At 36.1% G+C, this 22,950-nt stretch overlaps 1 protein-coding gene across 11 annotated transcripts in view; it reads left to right on the top strand.

Annotated features, from left to right (window-relative positions):
• The window catches only part of ABCA9 (ATP binding cassette subfamily A member 9), a 104,490-nt gene that overhangs the window by 22,705 nt on the left and 58,835 nt on the right, over window positions 1–22,950 (top strand). For 8 of the 11 annotated variants that reach the window (XR_007065256.1, XM_017024011.2, NM_080283.4 and 5 more), the window contains exons 2-9: window positions 5,134–5,242; window positions 6,783–6,990; window positions 10,937–11,101; window positions 11,673–11,776; window positions 12,558–12,784; window positions 20,472–20,613; window positions 20,842–21,027; window positions 22,400–22,547. Coding sequence is in view for 10 of the 11 variants with exons in the window: in XM_017024011.2 (XP_016879500.1) it covers window positions 5,134–5,242; window positions 6,783–6,990; window positions 10,937–11,101; window positions 11,673–11,776; window positions 12,558–12,784; window positions 20,472–20,613; window positions 20,842–21,027; window positions 22,400–22,547 (1,289 nt within the window). In the remaining variant the exon portion in view is untranslated. Of the gene's footprint in view, window positions 1–5,133; window positions 5,243–6,782; window positions 6,991–10,936; window positions 11,102–11,625; window positions 11,777–12,557; window positions 12,785–20,471; window positions 20,614–20,841; window positions 21,028–22,399; window positions 22,548–22,950 lie in introns of those variants that run through there. The other 3 variants (XM_047435107.1, XM_047435106.1, XM_017024015.3) reach the window with 2 other exon arrangements.

Raw genomic sequence — 22,950 nt, 5'->3', positions numbered from 1 at the left:
GTCTTGGTAGAGGCCTATTGATTTTATTGATCTCAGAGAACCAGCTTTTGGTTTTACTGATTTTTATCTATTGATTTCCTGTTTTCCGTTTCATTGATTTCTATCATAATTTTTACTATTTCTTTTATTTTGCTTTCTTTGGATTTAATTTGCTTTTCTTTTTCTAATTTCCTAAGGTGTAAGCTTAGATTGTTTGCTTTAGATCTTTCTTCTTTACTAATGTATGCATTGGATGCTGTAAATTTCTCTCTAAGCAAAGCTTTCACTGTATGCCACAAATTTTGATAAGCTGTGTTTTCATTTTTATTTAGTTCAAAATAAGTTTTAATTTGTCATTAGATTTTTTTCTTTGACTTTTATGTTATTTAGAAGTGTGTTTAACCTCCATGTATTTGGGAGATTTTCCAGTTATCTTTCTATTACTGATTTCTAGTGTAATTCTACCATTGCCCAAGAGCATGCATTGTATGATTTCTATTCCTTTAAATTTTCTAAGGTGTGTTTTATGGCTCAAAATTGGTCTATCTTGGTGAGCGTTCCATGTGAGCATGAGAAGGATGAATTTCCTGCTGTTATTGAGTGAAATCGTGTGTAGAAATGTTCATTTTACCCAATCGGTTGATTATATTGTTGAGTTCAACTCTGATTTTATTTATTTTCTGCCTGCTGGATCTGTCCATTTCTGCCAAGAGAGGTGATGAAGTCTCCAACTATAAGAGTGGATTCATCTGTTTCTCTTTGCAGTTCTCTCAGTATTTTGACACTGTTGTTAGCACACACATGTTAAAGATTGCTATGACTTCTTGGAAAATTGACCCCTTTAACTTTATGTAACTTCTCACTTTATCCCTGATAATTTTCCTTCTTTGGAATGAAAAGTCTGTTCTGTTTTAGAATTCTACTCCATCTGAAATTAATATAGTTATTCCAGCTTTCTTCTGATTATTGTTAGCATGGTCCATCTATATTTATCCCTCTACTTTTAATCTATATGTGTCTTTATATTTAAAGCTGGTTTCATGTAGACAACATGTAATTACATCTTTTTTGTCATCTACTCTGACAATCTCTGTCTTTTAATTGGTGCATTTAGACCATTGATGATCAAAGTGATTATTGACATATTGGATTAGTATCTACCAAATTTGTTACCATTTTCTATTTATTGCCTTTGTTCTAGTCTTCAATTCTATTTTTGGTCTACATTTTTTCTGCCTTTTGTGGTTTTAATTGAGCATTTAATATAATTTCATTTTTCCTTCTTTCTTAGATTATCATTCATTTAGACTCATTTTTTTTGTTTTTTGTTTTTACTTTCTTTCATGAATTTTCCAAAAGAAAAGCAAATTAAATCCTTAGAGTTTGCAATATATATTTACAATTAATCCAAGTCAACTTTCGAATAACACTATACCACTTAATTGGTAGCGTATCTTATAATAACAAAATAACCCCAATTCCTCCTCCCTCCTGTCCCTCATATCATTACTGTCATTCATTTCACTTACAGATAAGCATACAGGAACATTATATATGAATGTAATACATATATTGTATATATGGCATTATATACATATATAAACATAAGTATACACAATTGAATACATTGCTATTATTTTCTATTATGTTTCAAATCAGTTAAAAATAAGAAAAAGTTTTTATTGTACCTTCACTTATTCTTTCTTTCTCTCATGCTTTTTCTTTATGTAAATCTGAATTTTCTTTTCTTTTCTTTTTTTTTTTTTTGAGAGAGGGTCTCACTCTTTGCCCAGGCTGGAGTGCGGGGTCACCATCACAGCTCACTGCAGCCTCCACCTCTCAGGCCCAAGTGATCCTTTCTACCTCAGCCTCCTTAGTAGCTGGGGCCTCAGGCATAAGCCATCATGCCTCACTAATTTAAATAATTTTGTTTTTGTAGAGACAGGGTCTCCCTATGTTGCCCAGGCTGGTCTTGAACTTCTGGGCTCAAGCCATTCTCCTACCTTAGCCTCCCAAAGTGCTGTAATTGCAGGCATGAGCCACTGTGTCCAGGCTTATATATAAATTTGTGACATATCATTTTACTTCTTTTGAAATAACTTCTTTTCATATTTTTGCAAGGCAGGTCTACTGGCAACAAATTCTCTCATTTTTTGTTTGTCTGAGAAAGTACTTCTCTTTCATCTTTTGAGGTTAATATCACAGAGTACATTCTACTAAGGGTAGAATGCTAAGTTGGTGGGTTTATTCTCTGAGCACATTAAATACTTTATTCTCTTCTTGTTTCCATAATTTCTGAAGAAAAGTTAGATAAAATTCTTATTTTTGCTCCTCTATAGAAAAGATGTTTTCTTCCTCTGGCTTCTTTAAGATTTTTTTCTTTATCTTTGATTTTCTGTAGTTTGAAAATGATATTTCTTGGTGTAGTTGTTTGAGCAAATATTCTGCTTGGTGTTCTCTGACCTTCCTGAATCTAAGGTTGGGTGTCTAGCCGTTATCTGGGGAAATTCTCAGTCATTACTGTTTAAAGTATTTCTTCTGTTCCTTTCTTTCTCTCTTTTTGGTATTCCCATTAGGCATATGTTACACATTTTCAATTGTCCCATAGTTCTTAAATATTCTGCTCTGTTTTTTCTTCAGTCTTTTTTTGTTTTCTTTTCAAAAAGTTTTGGATTCTTTTCTCAGCTGTGTGTAGTCTACTAATAAGCTCATCAAAGATCAAAGGCATTCTTCATTTCTGATAGTATTTTTTAATATTAGGCATTTATTTTTGGTTCTCTCTTAGAAGTTTTATCTCCTTTCTTACCTTGCCCATCGTTCCTGCATGATGCAGCATTATAAGAAATATATATTTTGTCTCTGCCCCCTAGTTTTGGCACAAAACCTCTAAAACCCTTGTAATTTCCTGAGTCATAGGGGTGATGGGAATAGCGTTAGTTATAATATTTGGTCCCTGTTCCTGACACAGAGCTTCTAAGACCAGGAATCTCTGAAGTGAAATGAGTATCTTCGTGTTAATGAGATATCTGATGGCTGAAATCCCCTAGATTGCTTCAGGATAGGACTGGTTGCCAGGGAATCACCCATGTGATTAGAAGGTTTCAGCCCCATCCCCAGATGTCCAGGAAGAGGAGAGGAGATTGAGTTCGAGTTAATCTCCAATGGCCAATGATTTTATTAATCATGCCCATGTAAAGAAGTCTCCACAAAAGCCCTAACTGAAGGAGTTTGGGGAACTTCTGGTTTGGTGAACATCTCAAGGTGCTGGGAATGTGGTGCACCCAGAGAGTTAATGGAAGCTCAGTGTCCTGTCCTGCACACTCTGCCATGTGCATATTTTCTATTTGGCTGTTCCTGAGTTTTATCCTTTGTAATAAACTGGTAATTGCAATTAGACTGTTTTTCTGAGTTCTGTGAGCTACTCTAGCAAATTATCAAACCCAAGGAGCGGGTTATGGGAACCCCTAATATATAGCCAGTCAGTCAGAAGTACAAAAGACCCAGGCTTCTGACTGGCATCTGAAGTGGGGGGCAGTCTTTTGGGACTGAGTCCTTAATCTGTGGGATCTGCTGTAACTCCAAGTAGACAGTGTCAGAATTGAAGTGAATTGAATTTTAGGTCACCCAGTTGGTGTCCACAGAGAACTGGAGAATTTCTTTGTGGGGAAAACCCAAGCATTTGTTATCAGAAGTGTTTTATACAGAGAAACAGGTGTGGACTTTTTTTTCTCCCTCGTTACATATTGTCTACTTTATGCATTGAAGCCCTTAGTATTTTAATCATTGTTGTTTCAAATTCCTAGTCTAATAATTGCAACATTTCTGCCACATCTGAGTCTGATTCTGATACTTTCTCTCCTTATACTGTTTTTTCTTTTTTACCTTCTAGTATGTGTTATAATTTTTTCTATTTGTTTTTGAGACAGAGTCTCTCTCTGTCACCCAGGCTGTAGTACAGTAGCATGAAGATGGTTCACTGCAGCCTCAATCTTGTTGGGCTCAAGCAATCTTCTGCCTCAACCTCCCAAGTAGCTGGTAGCTGGGACTACAAGGACCATGTCCAGCTAATTTTTTGATTTTTTAAAAATAGAGATGGGGTCTCACTTTGTTGCCCAGGCCAGTCTCTAACTCCTGGCTTCAAGCAATCCTCCTGCCTCAGCCTCCCAAAGTGCTGGGATTACAGGCATGAGCCACCTTATGCAGCCTGTAATTTTTTCTTGGTAGCTGGACATGATGTCCCGGGTAAAAGTTAATCAATCTCTTAAGTTCGTGGCACACAAAATAATTGATTCAAACAAAGCTCCTATCTTGTTTTGGTTACTTATTTTCTTTAATTTCCAATTCCCACTTTTCACCCAACCTCCATTCTTATTTCCCACTTCCAAAGATAACCTTTTTATTGTATTAGGGATGGTGATCCTTTAGTTCCTGAATATTTTTGGAAAATGTGTATCACATGTAATGTGAATTGATATCAATGATATTTTGACCTAATGCTCAATCTTTTCTTTTTCTTTCTTTCTTCCTTTGAACTGGAGCTATATTTTTAAGATGTCTTCATGTGGATGGGTGTGTGCCAATCCAGTGCTCCTGAATCCTACATAGTAATCTTTGGACTGTATCCATCAAAATTTGTTTTATTAACACCATGCCACAATAATCTACATTATAAAGAACATCCTTGCACTGGTCCCCTCATGACCCCATGTGAGAATCTCCATGGGCTGCATATCCAGGAGCAGAACTGATTGATGGTAGGATATTGCTAAGTAGTAATGAATTAGTAATGAATCACCCATGTGACTGGGTTAGTTTGTACCCCCAACAACAAGGCGGAAAGTTCCTTTCTCCCCATTAGACAATTTAACAACACCCACAGTTGAGGAGATAGCAACGATCGACACTATTCACTCTTCTGATTTTTCTCAATCCAATGATGGAGAAATAATATCTGATAGTTGTTTTAATTCTTATTTCTTTCAATATTGAGTTTAAACATTTCCTCACATGTTTTTATTTTAGCCTTTTGGCTTTCTTCTTCTCCAGGAATGCAACTGGAAACAGCTGTTACAATGTTTCTTTTATGTTTGATTGCACAATGTTTTCTACTTTAGACCTTCACATGTACTTCATTTTTTTTCTGTCTTTTTAAAGGAAACAGGTCAAAATGAGCAAGAGACGCATGAGCGTGGGTCAGCAAACATGGGCTCTTCTCTGCAAGAACTGTCTCAAAAAATGGAGAATGAAAAGACAGACCTTGTTGGTATGCTTCAGAGTCTATGTGTTCTCATATTTAGAGGATGAAAAAGTATTTTATCAGGCAACATAAACACTTTATTTTCATTATTTAACATTGCACATATGTGTAGTCTAATTAACAAGCTAGATTTTTTTTCAAATTCTGGGCTTTGCTATTTGTTCAGGTAAAATTTATTTTTTCAAATTACATTATGTATTATTGTTTTATGTCTTACTAGAGGCATTTTTTTAAAAATTCATATTCAGAAACTCCTTGAAAAATAAAGCCATATCTTTATACTTCAGAGATAACAATTCTTAACCGCTGAGCTCATTTGAATCTCATGAACGCATTTGTATAGAAGTTCAGGGACAAAGTAAAAAAGAAGCAGGGAATCCAAAATCTAACAAACAATGAAAAGGCAAATTGTAGCACTTCTACACAATGTCATTATAGACACAGACAATGTCAGTTTGAAAGAAATAATAATCATGTAAATAAATGGGAAAATAGTATTGTGATCTTTTACTTCTATTAAAATAGTACTTATTTTCTTCTGATCATAAGAATGATTAGATGTGCTTTGTGCAAAAAATTTAGTAAACTCAGAAAAATATAATAAAATCACCCATAGAATACTCATAGTTCAAAACTTATATTAACATCTGATCTTATGAACGTGTGTGTGTGTGTGTGTGTGTGTGTGTGTGTTCGTGTGTGTGTGTGTGTGTTCATGCAACAAATATGTATTGAATGCTTGGATAGGCAGGGAATAAAGTATACAACAATTCCTGCATAGGGAAAAGATTATATAAATGTAAAAGTTGTGATCCCGCCCTACATAGATGTTTTACCTTTAAACTTTTAGCTCTTTTTTATATAAACATTATATTTATTTTTCTATTAAGATAGAAACAGATATAGACCAACACACATAGCTAAAAAAGGATCATATGATGAAGATGACATATAACTCTTTTAAAAAGGACTTATGTGTAGTATCATAACTAAATAATTAACTAGGTTCTTATCACTGGGTTTCAATTGCATTGTGCTGTATTTCCAATTCCCGAATGTGGTCACGATGACCACATTCAAAAAAACTTTGTTTTTTTATGAGCAACATTTTGGGACTATCTTCTTCCACATACCAGCAACAGAAGGTAAAAATATGATATGATCTTGCTCCTGTTGATGGAAGCTAGTTACCTATTCCACATCACCTACTATTTATTTATCACTGTCACTAAAATTTTAACATGACTAAACTGTTGGGCCATTCATAAAGTAATACAGGCTTTATCACTTGCACTAGAGTGTGGTAAACTTAGATTCTCAATTATAACTGGAATTGATGTTACAATTCTGTCTTGGTAGACAATGTGCATATTTTAATATATGCAGATTAATGGACAAAGAAAATCAGGATATTTAAAAACTAGGAGAAAGAATAAATGGAATGCAAGCCAAATAACAGAATTAAGTATTTCAAACTGTTTGTGGATGATTGATCTGTGGTATAACATCTACCAGTTTGTTTCCTTTTTCTCTTATTGCTATATAGGAATGGCTCTTTTCATTTCTTCTGGTACTGTTTCTGTACCTATTTTTCTCCAATTTACATCAAGTTCATGACACTCCTCAAATGTCTTCAATGGATCTGGGACGTGTAGATAGTTTTAATGATACTAATTATGTTATTGCATTTGCACCTGAATCCAAAACTACCCAAGAGATAATGAACAAAGTGGCTTCAGCCCCATTCCTAAAAGGTATGTTCCCTGGTTGTTCATAGTAATTTCCTTATTTGCAAAAGGCACAAATTCATTTTGAGATTTCCTTCATAAATTATGTTGAATGTTCAAGTTTCTAGAGTTTATTAACAACATTAACGTATATTCCTTCCAAGTCTCAAAATTTTTTGTAGTTTGTTCACTAGTGTCCCATTTAGGAAATTCCATATTAAAAGGGTTATCTTCATAATTGTACATATCAAAATGAGATAGTCCAGGGTTATTTAAATGTATGTTTGTGAAAAGATTCTGGAAACATTGGACTGTAGTGACAGCATGATTTTTCAAATACATACATATTAAGAGAGAAACTATACATCATTTTGAAAACCCATGGGCAATATTTACAATGAAAAGAGGTGACATGTTTCCTTGTACCACAAAGTATATATGTGGGTGGGACACAAAGCTCTAAAAGCCACAAGATTGGCGTGGTTTTTCCTGTGGGTGTAGGAAGAGAACAAAGAGAAACAATAAGGTATCTGATGGTCCTGAAGAAACTTCTTTAAGAGTTCATAATTACCCACCAGAAAGCAGAGAGGGCCAATTTGAGAATCGCAACTGAAACCATATTCAGAAATTTTATTACTAGTATAGTTTTGGAATGCTATTGAAGCTGTTAAATGTGTAAAGTGTGATAGACCAAATAAGTAAGTATGGAATAGTCTCATTCTCTCACCCATGTGTCCTTAAAACTTGGGAGTCACACTATGGAAGAGAAGGTCTAGGGCAGGACATTTACAAGGTGAAGAACCTTGTCATTCCAGATAGCTTAGAGACTAGCCATCAAGACCTGATCGGTTATGCCAAAAGAACTCAGCAGCCAATGTGGCGTAAGTCCATGCTTTCGTCAAGTTATTAAATGAAAAATATAACTAACCGTTTTACCGTTAGAGGATGATACAGGTTGAGCACCCCTAATTCTAAAACCCAAAATCAGAAATGCTCCAAAATCTGAAGCCTTTTGAGCCTGACATGATGCATAAGTGGAATATTCCACACCTGACCTCATGATAGGTTTGACTCTGTGTCCACACCCAAATCTCATCTTGAATTGTAATCCCCACATGTGGAGGAAGGGACCTGTAATCTCCATGTTTTGAGGGAGGGAAGTGATTGGATCATGGGAGCAATTTCCCCCATGCTGTTCTCATGATAGTGAGTTCTCACAAGATCTAATGATTTTATAAGGGGTTTTCCCCCCTTTGCTTCCTGTCTCTCCTGCCACATTGTGAAGGTGCCTGCTTCCCCATCTGCCATGATTGTAAGTGTCCTGAGGTCTCCCCACGTTGCAGGAATCAGGAGACCAGAAAGACCATATGGGTGGAACAGGAGGATTTTATTTAGGTGGCCACTGGCCCAGCAGATTAATATCCAGAGGCTGAGCCACGAACAAAGACAGGGCTTGACTTTTATTCATGCAACTGAAGTGGGGTGGCTAGCCAGTGGCGTGAAATTTGCAGGATGGGGAAAGTGAGAACAGAACAAAGGCAGTTAATCAAACTGTGACAGGTTTTGCAACTTAGGCATGTCTTGTGACCTTTGCCATCCTGCACAAATGGGAAAACAGGAACTTACAAAATCCTTGCAAACTTGCAGAAATAGTTACAAAAGTAATTATAAGAGCAGAACAAAGAATGATAGCATGGGGAGAGAATTTCAGGCAGAGACTGATAAGAACTTGTTTTTCTCCTCCCTGCTCTTGGAATCCATTTCTCTGGGGCCCCTGCCTGGCCTTGCAGATAATGTTATCATAGCTCCAGCTGCACTTTGGAGTGAGTCAGCCTGGTCAGGGAAGGACTTGTTTTCTCTTTACTTGTTTTTCTTATATTTCCTGCTTCACCCAGCCATGCAGAACTGTGAGCCAATTAAACCTCTTTCCTTTATAAATCACCCAGTCTTGGCTATGTCTTTATAGCAGTGTGCAAACAGACCAATACACCTCATGTGATCGGTCACAGTGAAAAAGCAGTAAAAACTTTGTTTTATGCACAAAATCATTTAAAATATTGTATAGGCTGAGTGTGCTGTAATTCCAGCACTTTGGGAGGCTGAGGTGGGCGGATCATCTTAGGTCAGGAGTTCTAACCTGGCCAACATGGTGACACCCCATCTCTACTAAAAATACAAAAATTAGCTGGGTGTGGTGGCATGTGCCTGTAATCTCAGCTACTTGGGAGTCTGAGGCAGGAGAATCACTTGCACTCAGGAGGTGAAGGTTGCAGTGAGCCGAGATCGTGCCACTGCACTCCAGCCTCAGTGACAGAGTGAAAGTCCATCTCAAAAACACAAACCAACAAACAACAATTATATATATATATATAAAATTTTCTATATATATAAAATTTTATATATATATATATATATATATATATATATATATATAGTATAAAATCGCCTTCAGGCAATGTGTATAAAGTGTATGTGAAACATAAATGAATTTCACATTTAGACTTGGGTTGCATCCTCAAGATTTCTTATTATGTGTATGAAAATATTATAAAATCCAAAAAGAAATTGAAACCCAAAATACTTCTTGTCTTGAGTGTGTGATAAGAGATACTCAGCCTATTGTGATGAGTTCTTATTATGGAAAATAGCAAATAAAGAGAAAATACAAGCACATATCCCACGTGAACTATTGCACAACCAAATAGATAATAGAAAATATTATTTTATAAATGTTTTATATTAGTAGATGAAAAAGAAATGATAGAAATAAAACATCACCATTTTGAAACTCCCATTGAATTAATGGACCTAGGCACTGAGGGTCAACAGCTGGAATATCTCAAAAAGAGAAACAACTAGAAATTATAAGCCTCTCATAAAACAACACATCAACACCTATCGGCTGGCAAAAAAGGATTAGACCTGAGTCTGGTTAAGCCTCTGGATCTAGCTGCTGGATTGTAGGAAATACCGAGGACAAAAGAACTTGCTGAATTGCACCAGGAGGGTGCGCTTATATGGGTTAAATGGCCTGGGTTAGATCAGTAACAGTCAGCCATTTACACTACATATTTTAGAATAAACAAAGTCTCTTAAGGAAACACTATCTAAATGCAACAGTTTTATTCTGTCTTTGGAAATTTGGCTACATTGACATCACTTCCAAATGAAGATGTGTACTATAATTGCAGCATATATTCCAACTTTAGATAGGTTTGTTTGTATATGAATTTAAATTGATGTATTGGTATTTCCAATATCAATATTTATACCAGTACCAATACCAATGATTATTTCCAATACCGTTGGAATTTCCAATAGCAATAATTTTTTGAAATTCATTGTGCGTTAAATTATTGTTTGATATGGTTTGGCTGTGTCTCCACCCAAAATTTTATCTTGAATTGTAATCCCCATAATCCCCACAATCCCCATGAGTCAAGGGAGGGACCTAGTGGAAAGTGATTGGATTATGGGGGTGGTTTCTCCCATGCTATTCTCATGAAAGTGAGTGAGTTCTCATGAAATCTGATGGTTTTATAAGCATCTGGCATTTCCCCTGCTTGCACTCATTCTCTCTCCTGCCTCCCTGGAAAGAGGTACCTTCTGCTATGATTGTAAGTTTCCTGAGGCTTCCCCAGTCATAGGGAACTGTGAGTCAATTAAACTTCTTTCTTTATAAATCACCCAGTCTCGGTATTTTCTTATAGCAATGTAAGAACAGAATGATACATTGTTTAAATGATTTATTTGGAAGGGTAAGTTATATTTGCAATACAAATGTTTGCCATAAATTTCTGATTTTATCTAGAACATCAGAAATTCCCACCCCCCTCCCCTCCATGTCTTATTTAGGCCCAGCACTGCCTTTAGGAAGGAATAGCTTTAACATAAAATAACCTCAACATAATTGAATATGGCCAGGTAGAGATTTTCTTGCTTAACTATTTCTTTTGTTTTCTTCACATGGCAGGAAGAACAATCATGGGGTGGCCTGATGAAAAAAGCATGGATGAATTGGATTTGAACTATTCAATAGACGCAGTGAGAGTCATCTTTACTGATACCTTCTCCTACCATTTGAAGTTTTCTTGGGGACATAGAATCCCCATGATGAAAGAGCACAGAGACCATTCAGGTAACTTTTGAAGAAGAAAAAAATTTTTTTTGCTATTGTATCAGTAGCCACAAAGGGGGCATACCTGATAGCAGAGGTGAAACTACACAAACATATACAACCACAACATAGAGCTTTAATTTCTGAACATAAAGGAGATTCATATTTATTAAATGAAGCTTATGTGCTTAAGTACATTGTTTTATTAAGAAATTATATTTACTCTTATTTCTAAGTTGCTCCTAAAAAAAACCTGAACAAAATGATCTTGCTCATTGATTCCCAAACATTTTCTTAAAGTTTAGTGCTTTCTTGACGTAAGCAACAGAAGATCCAAGCTCAAGGAAAGCAATCTTGACCAATGGAAAGAATTATAAAATATAATGAAAAATCATTGAGAACTGGTCTTAAAAATATTCGTAAAGTAATTCTGCTATATTCCGTTTGGGTGTGCTCTGCAACTCTCAACTGAGAAGACTTACCATCCACTATATTATCATGGACTTTGCATTTTGAAACATTTGAAATTTTGTTTTTTTCTGTAGCCAAGATTGTATCATTCCGTAATAATGGATGTGTTCTTCTTCTAAAGCTCACTGTCAAGCAGTGAATGAAAAAATGAAGTGTGAAGGTTCAGAGTTCTGGGAGAAAGGCTTTGTAGCTTTTCAAGCTGCCATTAATGCTGCTATCATAGAAGTGAGTATAAAGTTAAAGGAATCTAACCACATTGCATTTGAATTTTGCTGGATGGTGATTTAATGGATTATCCTATTCTATCATTTATTCACTTCATTAATAAGGCACAATATACAGAACAACTTCCATAATAAAACCATTGTACTAAGTACTGGGGATCAGAAAATAAGTAGAACACAGGCATTTTTCTCCAGGGATACTGGTATAGGGGGAGATAGAAACATGGATATATAGTCATAATAAGAGTTTAGATTCTATCATAGAATTTTTTATTTTTAACTTTGTTTTTCTTAGAGACAAAGTTTTACTCTGTTGCCCAGGCTGGAATGCAGTGGCTATTCACAGACATGATTATAGCTCACTGCAGCCCCCAAACTTCTGGGCTCAAGTGATCCTCCTACCTCAGCCTCCCAAGTAGCTGGGATTACAGACCATGCCACCATGCCTGATTCTATCATGGAATTTAAAATGGTGTACTAGGCAAACAATGAAGCAGGATATACTCTGATAAGAAACATCAGGGAAAATTTGCTAATTGAAGTGACATTTCAGCTAGTCTTAAAACAGGAGTAGCGTTTTGTCCAGTGAGGTTGATGATGTTCTAAGGAGTCACGACAAAACCTAAAGTGTTCCAGGAACCACAAGGGGCCAGATCATGAAGGGCATATAAACATAAAATACATAAATGTAGAATGTACGTGATTCCTTATAATTTAGAGAAAAAGCCTAAGGTTGGAATTAGATTGATGATAACAATTTGTTCATTGATATCTTTCTTCAGATCGCAACAAATCATTCAGTGATGGAACAGCTGATGTCAGTTACTGGTGTACATATGAAGATATTACCTTTTGTTGCCCAAGGAGGAGTTGCAACTGATTTTTTCATTTTCTTTTGCATTATTTCTTTTTCTACATTTATATACTATGTATCAGTCAATGTTACACAAGAAAGACAATACATTACGTCATTGATGACAATGATGGGACTCCGAGAGTCAGCATTCTGGTAAATCATATGACTCCAATCCATTATACAGCATAAACAAACAGAACAACTTAGCTGGTTGACTCCTTAGACCAGGGGTCCCCAAGCCCCAGGCCACAGACTGCTACTGGTCCATGGCCAGTTAGGTACCAGGCCACATAGCAGGAGGTGAGTGGCAGGCAAGTGAGCAAAGCTTCATGTATATTTACAGCCACTCCCTATTGCTCACATTACCACCTGAGCTCCACCTCCTGTCAGAATAGCCACGTTATTAGAGTATCACAGAAGCTCAAACTCTATTGTGAACTGTGTATGTGAGAGATCTAGGTTGCGGGCTCCTTATGAGTATCCAATGCCTGATGATCTGTCACTCAAGAGATCTAGGTTGCGGGCTCTTTATGAGTATCCAATGCCTGATGATCTGTCACTGTCTCCCATCACCCCCAGATGGGATCTAGTTGCAGGAAAACAAGCTCAGGGTTCCTACTGATTCTACATTATGGTAAGTTGTATAATTATTTCATTATATATTACAATGTAATAATAATAGAAATAAAGTGCACAATAAATGTAATCCACATGCATCATCCCAAAACCATCTCCCCACTCCTGTTTGTGGAAAAACTGTCTTCCATGAAACTGGTCCCTGGTGCCAAAAAGGTTGGGGACTGCTGCCTTAGATCTCTAAAGCAATACAAATGTTGCCACTTTCATAAAGTAGTATGTTTATAAATGAGTTGAGCAGATGACCATGCAGACTTGGTGACTTGAAACTTTCCAAATTTATTTGACTTAAAGACAGCCTTATCCTGTAGATGTTTGCCAATACTCAGGGCGCCAGATGATTACTTGGTCACTAGTTACCATATATGGGTGAACCCAAATACACAAACACGTGAGGTTTCCAATATTCAGTAAAATACATGTTTCAGATACCTTATGTTAGGAATGGTGATTGATTTTTGACCCAGTGTTGGATGAGTCATCACTTTTATGACACTGAGCAAAAAGAAAACCTTTTATGTTCTTTAAACATTGAGATATTTTAGCTGAGGCCGTAGAGCACTGTGGTAAGCCTGGGAGGCAAGAAGCCACGGGTTGTCTCCATCTCAGCATTCAGTAGCTACCATCTTGGAAAATTACTTAAACTCTTTAAACTTCAGTTTTCTCTTCTGTAAAACGTAGATAATAATATGCACCTCTCATTGGTCCTGAGAATTAAAAGAAAGAAATGTATCTAAAATGTTTTACATGGTGGTTAAGAATAAACACTCAATATTAAGTGTCAGTTGATGGAGATATGGGGAGCTTTATGGCCAGAGATGACAGTAGAGGCAAGTTAGGAAACAAGGGTTGAATTGTCAATTAATGGCAAGATAGTTTCAAGAGTTTAGCCAAGTGATGCATTAGAGACAGATGCAGTAAAAGCCTGAGTTCTGGAGTCAGAAAGAAATGGCTTGAATCTTGAATTTGCCCTTTACACACTGTGATATTATCTCCCTGTTAAATAAGATATGTAGAATGCATATAAGGGTTCTGGGCGTATGCTACATAGGCTTTCAAAGAATATTAGACATTACTGAGTAGAAAAAAATAAAGTTTATGTGATTTTCTACACAAGTGTTCAATATACCGGGTGGAGAAGTGGAGAAGATGAATTACTTCTTTGGTTTATGATGAAAGTTTTTCTCTGATGTCCTTTTCTGTATCAAAATTGAGTTAACTCAGTACTAAAAAAATTTGGTCAAGATAGATAGATAGATAGATAGATAGATAGATAATTTCTTTCTTTTTTTTTATTTTTTTGAGACAGAGTCTTGCTCCGTCACCCAGGCTGGAGTGCAGTGGCGTGATCTTGGCTCACTGCAACCTCCCCCTCCCGGGTTCAAGTGATTCTTCTGCCTCAACCTCCCTAGTAGTTGTGACTACAGGCGAGTGCCACCATGCCCGGCTAATCTTTGTACTTTTAGTAGAGAAAGAGTTTCACTATGTTGGCCAGGCTGGTCTTGAACTCCTGACCTCAAGTGATCCACCTGCCTCGGCCTCCCAAAGTGCTGTGATTACAGGTGTGAGCCGCCACCCCAGCCTATTTTTTAAAAAATGATATACAAAGAATTATAGAAAAATAACCAAGATGATTTTAAAAATAATAATCCAGTGAGAAAGGATTAAAAATCAGGGCATTTTTTTTCCTCTCATAAGAAAAGCCTAAGGCATTTTACTTGTACAGCATTTAAGTGGAACTAAGGAGAGTTTATAGAATATAGATGAACAATTTCAGATGAATGAAAGTGTACTGTGCAAAGGGAGTTATTACAATTAGCCCTTAAAAATAAGCCATCCCAAAACATGATGGCATTTTCTACTTTAAATAAAAACTAACTGTTCATTGTGGACACACTATAAGCCAGTTGCCATATTAAACCCATAAAATAAATAATTTCATTTAATTTTCCTGTTTTCCACCAGAAAAAACTGAAGTTTGAAGAGATTAAATAACTACCTCTCAGGATTATATAGTTACAATGTAGCAGGAGAAACTGGAACTAACTCAGATCTGTGATTAGAAAGCTTTTTCTCTTTCTCCTTTAAAGAACTTTCTTCCTGTTTATTTGGCATTGATAGTAAGGGAAAAGATATCTTCATATTCGTCTATATGTCTGTATCTATCTGTGTCCTGTGGGTATGTATAAATGTGTATCTATATCTAATTATCTATATTGGGGATTGGTAATCTATCAGCTGTTTTTGTACAATTTGCAAATTAGGAATTTCTTTTACATTTTTTATCATACTTTAAGTTCTGGGATACATGTGCAGAATGTGCAGGTTTGTTACATAGGTATACATGTGCCATGGTGGTTTGCTGCAACCATCAACCTTTCATCTAAGTTTTAAGCCCCACATGCATTAGATATTTCTCCTAATGCTATCTCTCCTCTTGCTCCCTACTCCCTGAAAGGTCCCAGTGTGTGATGTTCCTCTCCCTGTGCCCATATGTTCTCATTGTTCAACTCTCACTTTTGAGTGAGAACATGCGGTGTTTGGTGTTCTGTTCCTGTGATAGTTTGCTGAGAATGATGTTTTCCAGCTTCATGCATGTCTCTGCAATTGACATGAACTCATTCTTTTTTATGGCTGCATATATTCCATGGTGTATATGTGCCACATTTTTTAAATCCAGTCTAGCATTTATGGGCATTGGGTTGGTTCCAAGTCTTTGCCATTGTGAATAGTGCTGCAATAAATATACGTGTGCATGTGTCTTTATAGTAGAATGATTTATGATCCTTAGCGTATATACCCAGTAATGGGATTGCTGGGTCAAATGGTATTTCTAGTTCTAGATCCTTGAGGAATTGCCACACTGTCTTCCACAATGGTTGAATTAGTTTACACTCCCACCAACAATATAAAAGCATTCCTATTTCTCCACATCCTCTCCAGCATCTGTTGTTTCCTGACTTTTTAATGATCACCGTTCTAACTGGTGTGAGATGGTATCTCATTGTGGTTTTGATTTGTATTTCTCTAATGACTAGTGATGATGAGCTTTTTTTCATATGTTTGTTGGCTGCATAAGTGTCTTCTTTTTGAGAAGTGTCTGTTCATATCCTTTGCCTACTTTTTGATGGGTTGTTAGTTTTTTTATTGTAAATTTGTTTAAGTTCCTTGTAGATTCTGGATAGTAGACCTTTGTCAGATGGATAGACTGCAAAAACTTTCTCCCATTCTGTAGGTTGCCTGTTCACTCTGATTGTAGTTTCCTTTGATCTGCAGAAGCTCTTTAGTTTGATTAGATCCCATTTGTCAATTTTTGCTTTTGTTGCTATTTCTTTCAGTGTTTTAGTCATGAAGTCTTTGCCTATGGCTATATCTTAATGGTATTGCCTAGGTTTTCTTCTAGGGTTTTTAAGGTTTTAGATCTTATGTTCAAGTCTTTAATCCATCTTGAGTTAATTTTTGTATAAGGTGTAAGGAAGGGGTCCAGTTTCTGTTTTCTGCATTTGGCTAGCCAGTTTTCCCAACATCATTTATTAAATAGGGAATCCTTTCCCTATTTATTGTTATTGTCACGTTTGTCAAAGATCAGATGGCTATAGATGTGCAGTGTTATTTCTGAGGGCTCTCCATTTGTCTATATATCTGTTTTGGTACCAGTACCATGCTGTTTTAGTTACTGTGGCCTTTCAGTACAGTTTGAAGTCAAATAGTGTGATGCCTCCAGCTTTGTTCTTTTTGCCTAGGATTGTCTTGGCTATGTGGGCTCTTTTTTGGTTCCATATGAAATTTAAAGTAGTTTTTTCTAATTCTATGAAGAAAGTCAACGGTAGCTTGATGGGAATAGCATTGAATCTATAAATTACTTTGGACAGTATGGCCATTTTCACAATATTGATTCTTCCTATCCATGAGCATGGAATGTTTTTCCATTTGTTTGTGTCCTCTTTTATTTCCTTGAGCAGTTATTTGTAGTTCTCCTTGAAGAGGTCCTTAGTATCCCTTGTAAGTTGTATTCCTAGGTATTTTATTCTCTTTGTAGCAATTGTGAATGGGAGTTCACTAATGATTTGGCAGTCTGTCTATTATTGGTGTATAGGAATGTTTGTGATTGTTGCACATTGATTTTGTATCCTGAGACTTTGCTGAAGTTGCTTATCAACTTAAGGAGTTTTTGGGCTGAGACGATGGAGATTTCTAAATATACAATCATGTTGTCTGCAAACAGAGACAATTTGACTTCCTTTCCTCCTATTTGAATACCCTTTATTTCTTTCTCTTGCCTGATTGTGCTGGCCAGAACTTCCAATACTATGTTGAATAGGAGTGGTGAGAGAGGGCGTCCTTGTCTTGTGCTGGTTTTCAAAGAGAATGTTTCTGCTTTTGCCCATTCAGTATGATATTGGCTACGGGTTTGTCATAAATAGCTGTTATTATTTTGAGATATGTTGCATAAATACCTAGTTCATTGACTGTTTTTAGCATGAAGGGGTGTTGAACTTTATTGAAGGCATTTTCTGCATCTCTTGAGATAATCATGTGGTTTTTGTGACTGGTTCTGTTTATATGATGGATTACATTTATTGATTTGCATATGTTGAACCTGCCTTGCATCCCGGGGATGAAGCCAAGTTGATCATGGTGGATAAACTTTTTGATGTGCTGCTGGATTCCGTTTGCCAGTATTTTATTGAGGATTTTTGCATCAATGTTCATCAGGAATATTGGCCTGAAATTTTCTTTTTTTATTGTGTCTCTGCCAGGTTTTGGTATCAGGATGATGCTGGCCTCATAAAATGAGTTAGGGAGGAGTCCCTCTTTTTCTATTGTTTGGAATAGTTTCAGAATGAATGGTACCAGCTCCCCTTTGTACTTCTGGTAGAATTCAGCTGTGAATCTGTTTGGTCCTGAGCTTTTTTTGGTTGGTAGGCTATTAATTATGGCCTCAATTCAGAACTTGTTATTGGTCAATTCAGGGATTCAACTTCTTCCTGGTTTAGTCTTGGGAGGTTGTAGGTGTCCAGGAATTTATCTATTTCTTCTAGATTTTCTAGTTTATTTGCGTAGAGGTGTTTATTATATTCTCCGATGGTAGTTTGTATTTCTGTGGGATCAGTGGTGATATCCCCTTTATCATTTTTTGTTGTATCTATTTGATTCTTCTCTCTTTTCTTCTTTATTAGTCTGACTAGAAGTCTATCTATTTTGTTAATCTTTTAAAAAAAACAGCTCCTGGATTCATTGATTTTTTTTGCAGGGTTTTTCATGTCTCTATCCCCTTCAGTTCTGCTCTGATCTTAGTTATTTTGTGTCTCCTGATAGCTTTTGAATTTGTTTGCTCTTGCTTCTCCAGTTCTTTTAATTGTGATGTTAGGGTATCAATTTTAGACCTTTCCCGTTTTCTCCTGTGGGCATTTAGTGCTATTAATTTTCCTCTAAACACTGCTTTAGCTGTGTCCCAGAGATTCTGGTATGTTGTGTCTTTGTTCTCATTGATTTCAAAAAACTTATTTATTTCTGCCTTAATTTTGTTATTTACCCAGTAGTCATTCAGGAGCAGGTCATTCAGTTTCCATGTAGTTGTGCAGTTTTGAGTGAATTTCTTAATCCTGAGTTCTTATTTGATTGCACTGTGGTCTGAGAAACTGTTTGTTATGATTTCCGTTCTTTTGCATTTTCTGAGGAGTGTTTTACTTCCGATTATGTAGTCGATTTTAGAATAAGTGCTATGTGGTGCTGAGAAGAAAGTATATTCTGTTGATTTTGGGTGGAGAGTTCTGTAGATGTCTATTAGGTCTGCTTGGTCCATAGCTAAGTTCAAGTCCTAAATATCCTTGTTAAGTTTCTGTCACATTGATCTGTCTAATATTGACAGTGGGGTGTTAAAGTCTCCCATTATTATTGTGTCAGAGTCTAAGTGTCTTTGTAGGTCTCTAAGAACTTGCTTTATGAATCTGGGTGCTCCTGTATTGGGTGCCTATATATTTAGGATACTTATCTCTTCTTGTTGCATTGATCCCTTTACCATTATGTAATGGCCTTCTTTGTCTTTTTTTAATCTTTGTTGGTTTAAAGTCTGTTTTATCAGAGACTAGGATTGCAACCTCTGCTTTTTTTTTTTTTTTTTTTTTTTTTTTGCTTTCCATTTACTTGGTAAATATTCCTTCATTCCTTTATTTTGAGCCTATGTGTGTCTTTGCACCTGAGATGGGTCTCTTGAATACGGCACACAAATGGGTCTTGACTCTTTATCCAATTCGGCAAATTGGATACTGGCATCTGTGTCTTTTAATTGGGGCATTTAGCCCATTTACATTTAAGGTTAATATTGTTATGTGTGAATTTGATCCTGTCATCATGATGCTGGCTGGTTATTTTGCACATTAGTTGATGCAATTTCTTCATAGTGTCGTTGGTCTTTATATTTTGGCTTGTTTTTGCAGTAGCTGCTATTGGTTTTTTCTTTCTACATTTAGTGCTTCCTTTAGGAGCTCTTGAAAGGCAGGCCTGGTGGTGACAAAATCCCTCAGCATTTGCTTGTCTGTAAAGAATTTTATTTCTCCTTCACTTATGAAGCTTAGTTTGGCTAGATGTCTTTTACATTTATAAATGCTTGGGAAAAAAATTCAATGAACAATAATATTTTGTGGCATGTGAAAATGTATATGAAATTCAAATTTTGTTGTCCATAAATACATTTTATTGAAACACAGCCACACATCACTAACATATTGTTTATGACTGTGTTTGTGCTACAATGGCAACAGAAACTGTACAGCCTGCAAAGCTGAAAATATTCACAATGTGGCTATTTAGAAAAAAAGTTTGCTGAACCCTGCTCCATTATCTACTTTTTTGTCCATATTATTTATACAATAACCTTACTGAAAAACTTGTCCAGAGCTGAGAAATCAGCATAGATGTCTTCCCAGAAAAGCTCTCTCTGGAAACCTCTCCCAGTGACATCCATTGTATCATCCAGCTTTACTTATTTTGCAATTTAGTTATCAATTTTCCTCTCTACTTGTTTATTGCCTACCTTCTTTTATATTATGTGATCCTGAGGGTAGGAGATAAGTTAGCTATTGCATTTTCTTTTCCTTTACCCTTGATAAATGGTGAGCTTCACAAATCATTTGCTGAATAAATGAATCAAGGAAGTGATGAAGTAACAACATTCTAACTGACGGCTTTGTTTCTCTGCTAGGCTTTCCTGGGGTTTGATGTATGCTGGCTTCATCCTTATCATGGCCACTTTAATGGCTCTTATTGTAAAATCTGCACAAATTGTCGTCCTGACTGGTTTTGTGATGGTCTTCACCCTCTTTCTCCTCTATGGCCTGTCTTTGGTGAGTTGGTTAATTTCATCTAAGTCTTTTATTCTCTTTCTCTCTCTCTACTGCCAATAATTTATCACTAATTCTGGTCTCACCTCTTTTGTTCTCTTTGTAGTATTTGCATGAAACAGTGTCTAGGGGTGGAAAAATATAAAATATACTTTTATAATATAAAATTCCTTTTTTGTGCTACTGTTCTCACAGAATTATATACCAGCTGAAGTCTTTCTCTTTTCTCAGATAACTTTAGCTTTCCTGATGAGTGTGTTGATAAAGAAACCTTTCCTTACGGGCTTGGTTGTGTTTCTCCTTATTGTCTTTTGGGGGATCCTGGGATTCCCAGCATTGTATACACGTCTTCCTGCATTTTTGGAATGGACTTTGTGTCTTCTTAGCCCCTTTGCCTTCACTGTTGGGATGGCCCAGGTAAGAGTTAAGGTAACACTTTCACTTTTTACAAACCGTTCTACACAGATTCCCTCTTAATAATTCACACAACATGCTCTAAGCATTCCATTCTATAACTTTTGTAAAAATAAACATGTATGAGACAGGAGTGACTTTAATTTTTCTCTCTCAGTGTAATTAGTTTCCCCATAAGTCACTAAATATAGGATCATACCCTTATTATTGAGATGTTTCAGCTTCTACTTCTAATTGGTTGTCCCAGAGAACATTTGTCTCATTCAGTGCTCAGGAAACATGACCCTTAATGTTATCACAAGCATTTAAAAACCAGGAATTTGGAATAAATATATCTTTATTTTTTAATTGCTCATTTCTACATGAAACTGAACCTTGTCTCAGAAAAGTTAATTTTAGTTATGATATCATAACTATAATATGCTAAATGAAAGGTTCTGCTAGATATAAACTCATTGTATCCTACCGCAGTCCAGTTAAGACATTATTCTTCTGTCTTCTGCCCAACTACTGAAGTATTTTACTGTTTCATGTTTTCACTCTGAAATGGACTTCCTTGTTGAGAATGCCCTCCTTTTTTCTCATTCTAAGCCCAAAAAAGTCCTATTGCAGCACAGTCTGTAATAAGATTGAAAACAACGTAAATGTCCATTGGTAGATTACTGGTTAAATAAATTACAGTCCATCCATACAATGGAAAATGTGCAGCCATCAAAAAGAATTTTTAAAGACTGATGCTGTGACTCACACCTGTAAATCATAGCACTTTGGGAGGCTAAGATGGGTGGATCTCCTGTGGCAGAAGTTCAAGACCACCCTGGGCAACATGGTGAAACCCCATCTCCACAAATAAAAAAAAATTAGCCAGTCATGGTGGAGTGCATCTGTAGTCCTAGCTACTCTGGAGGCTGATGTGGGAGAATCACCTAGGTCCAGGAGGCTGAGCCTGCTGTGAGTTGAAATAGCACCACTGTACTCCAGCCTGGGTAACAGAGTGAGACCCTGTCTCAAAAAACAAACAAATAAACAAAAAATTTAAAAACACTTCTTGTACTGACATACAGAGTTTTGTAAACTATATTAGGTCCAGCTCAAATATCACCTTTCTTGAGTTTGTACTTCCTCCTAGAAAATGTACCTGGGGCTGCCTGTGGGTTTCTTAGTACTCAGTACTAGTACTAACTTCCATTCATTTCCCAAATTGACATCACTTCATTGCTATTAAAATTGTCTTCTATAATAGTAGACAGAGCTCTGTAGAGACAAGATTATATCTTATTTATCTTTGCAAACCCAGTTGTAGCAGAAATAAAACAATAATAATTCTTAATGCCATATTAATTCTTTTAAAATTCACTGTATCTTTCTTTTTCAGCTTATACATTTGGACTATGATGTGAATTCTAATGCCCACTTGGATTCTTCACAAAATCCATACCTCATAATAGCTACTCTTTTCATGTTGGTTTTTGACACCCTTCTGTATTTGGTATTGACATTATATTTTGACAAAATTTTGCCCGGTAAGTACTAACATGGCTGTAATTTAACACAATTTCAATAATTGCATGTCTTTAAAACAACTCTACAATGTACTAAATAAAAATTAGCAAGCAGTTTTTCAAAATTTCTACAACAAGCCTAATGATATTCTATAGTTTGTTTATAGAATCACTTTCTAAGACTTGGCTCTGCTATAACACTCCAGAGTGTTTCTTTTTAAAAAGAGACACTTGTGAGAGATTATGGATGATGATACTATTAGTGTTTATGTCAGAACTAGATGAAGAATGCTGGTGCTTGATACTTGATCTTAGAAATCTCTAAGTGCTTTCCCATTTAACTCACTTGATATACAATAGTGGGTTATTAGTAAAAATATTATAATTGCATAGTCGATGTACAATCTTTCCTTTCTTTCTTTCC

The sequence above is a fragment of the Homo sapiens genome, chromosome 17 (genome assembly GCF_000001405.40).
Source record: "Homo sapiens chromosome 17, GRCh38.p14 Primary Assembly".
Classification (NCBI taxonomy): Eukaryota; Metazoa; Chordata; class Mammalia; order Primates; family Hominidae; genus Homo; species Homo sapiens.
The sequence above is the reverse complement of the archived record's forward strand: the minus strand, read 5'-3'. Positions and strand labels throughout refer to the sequence as shown.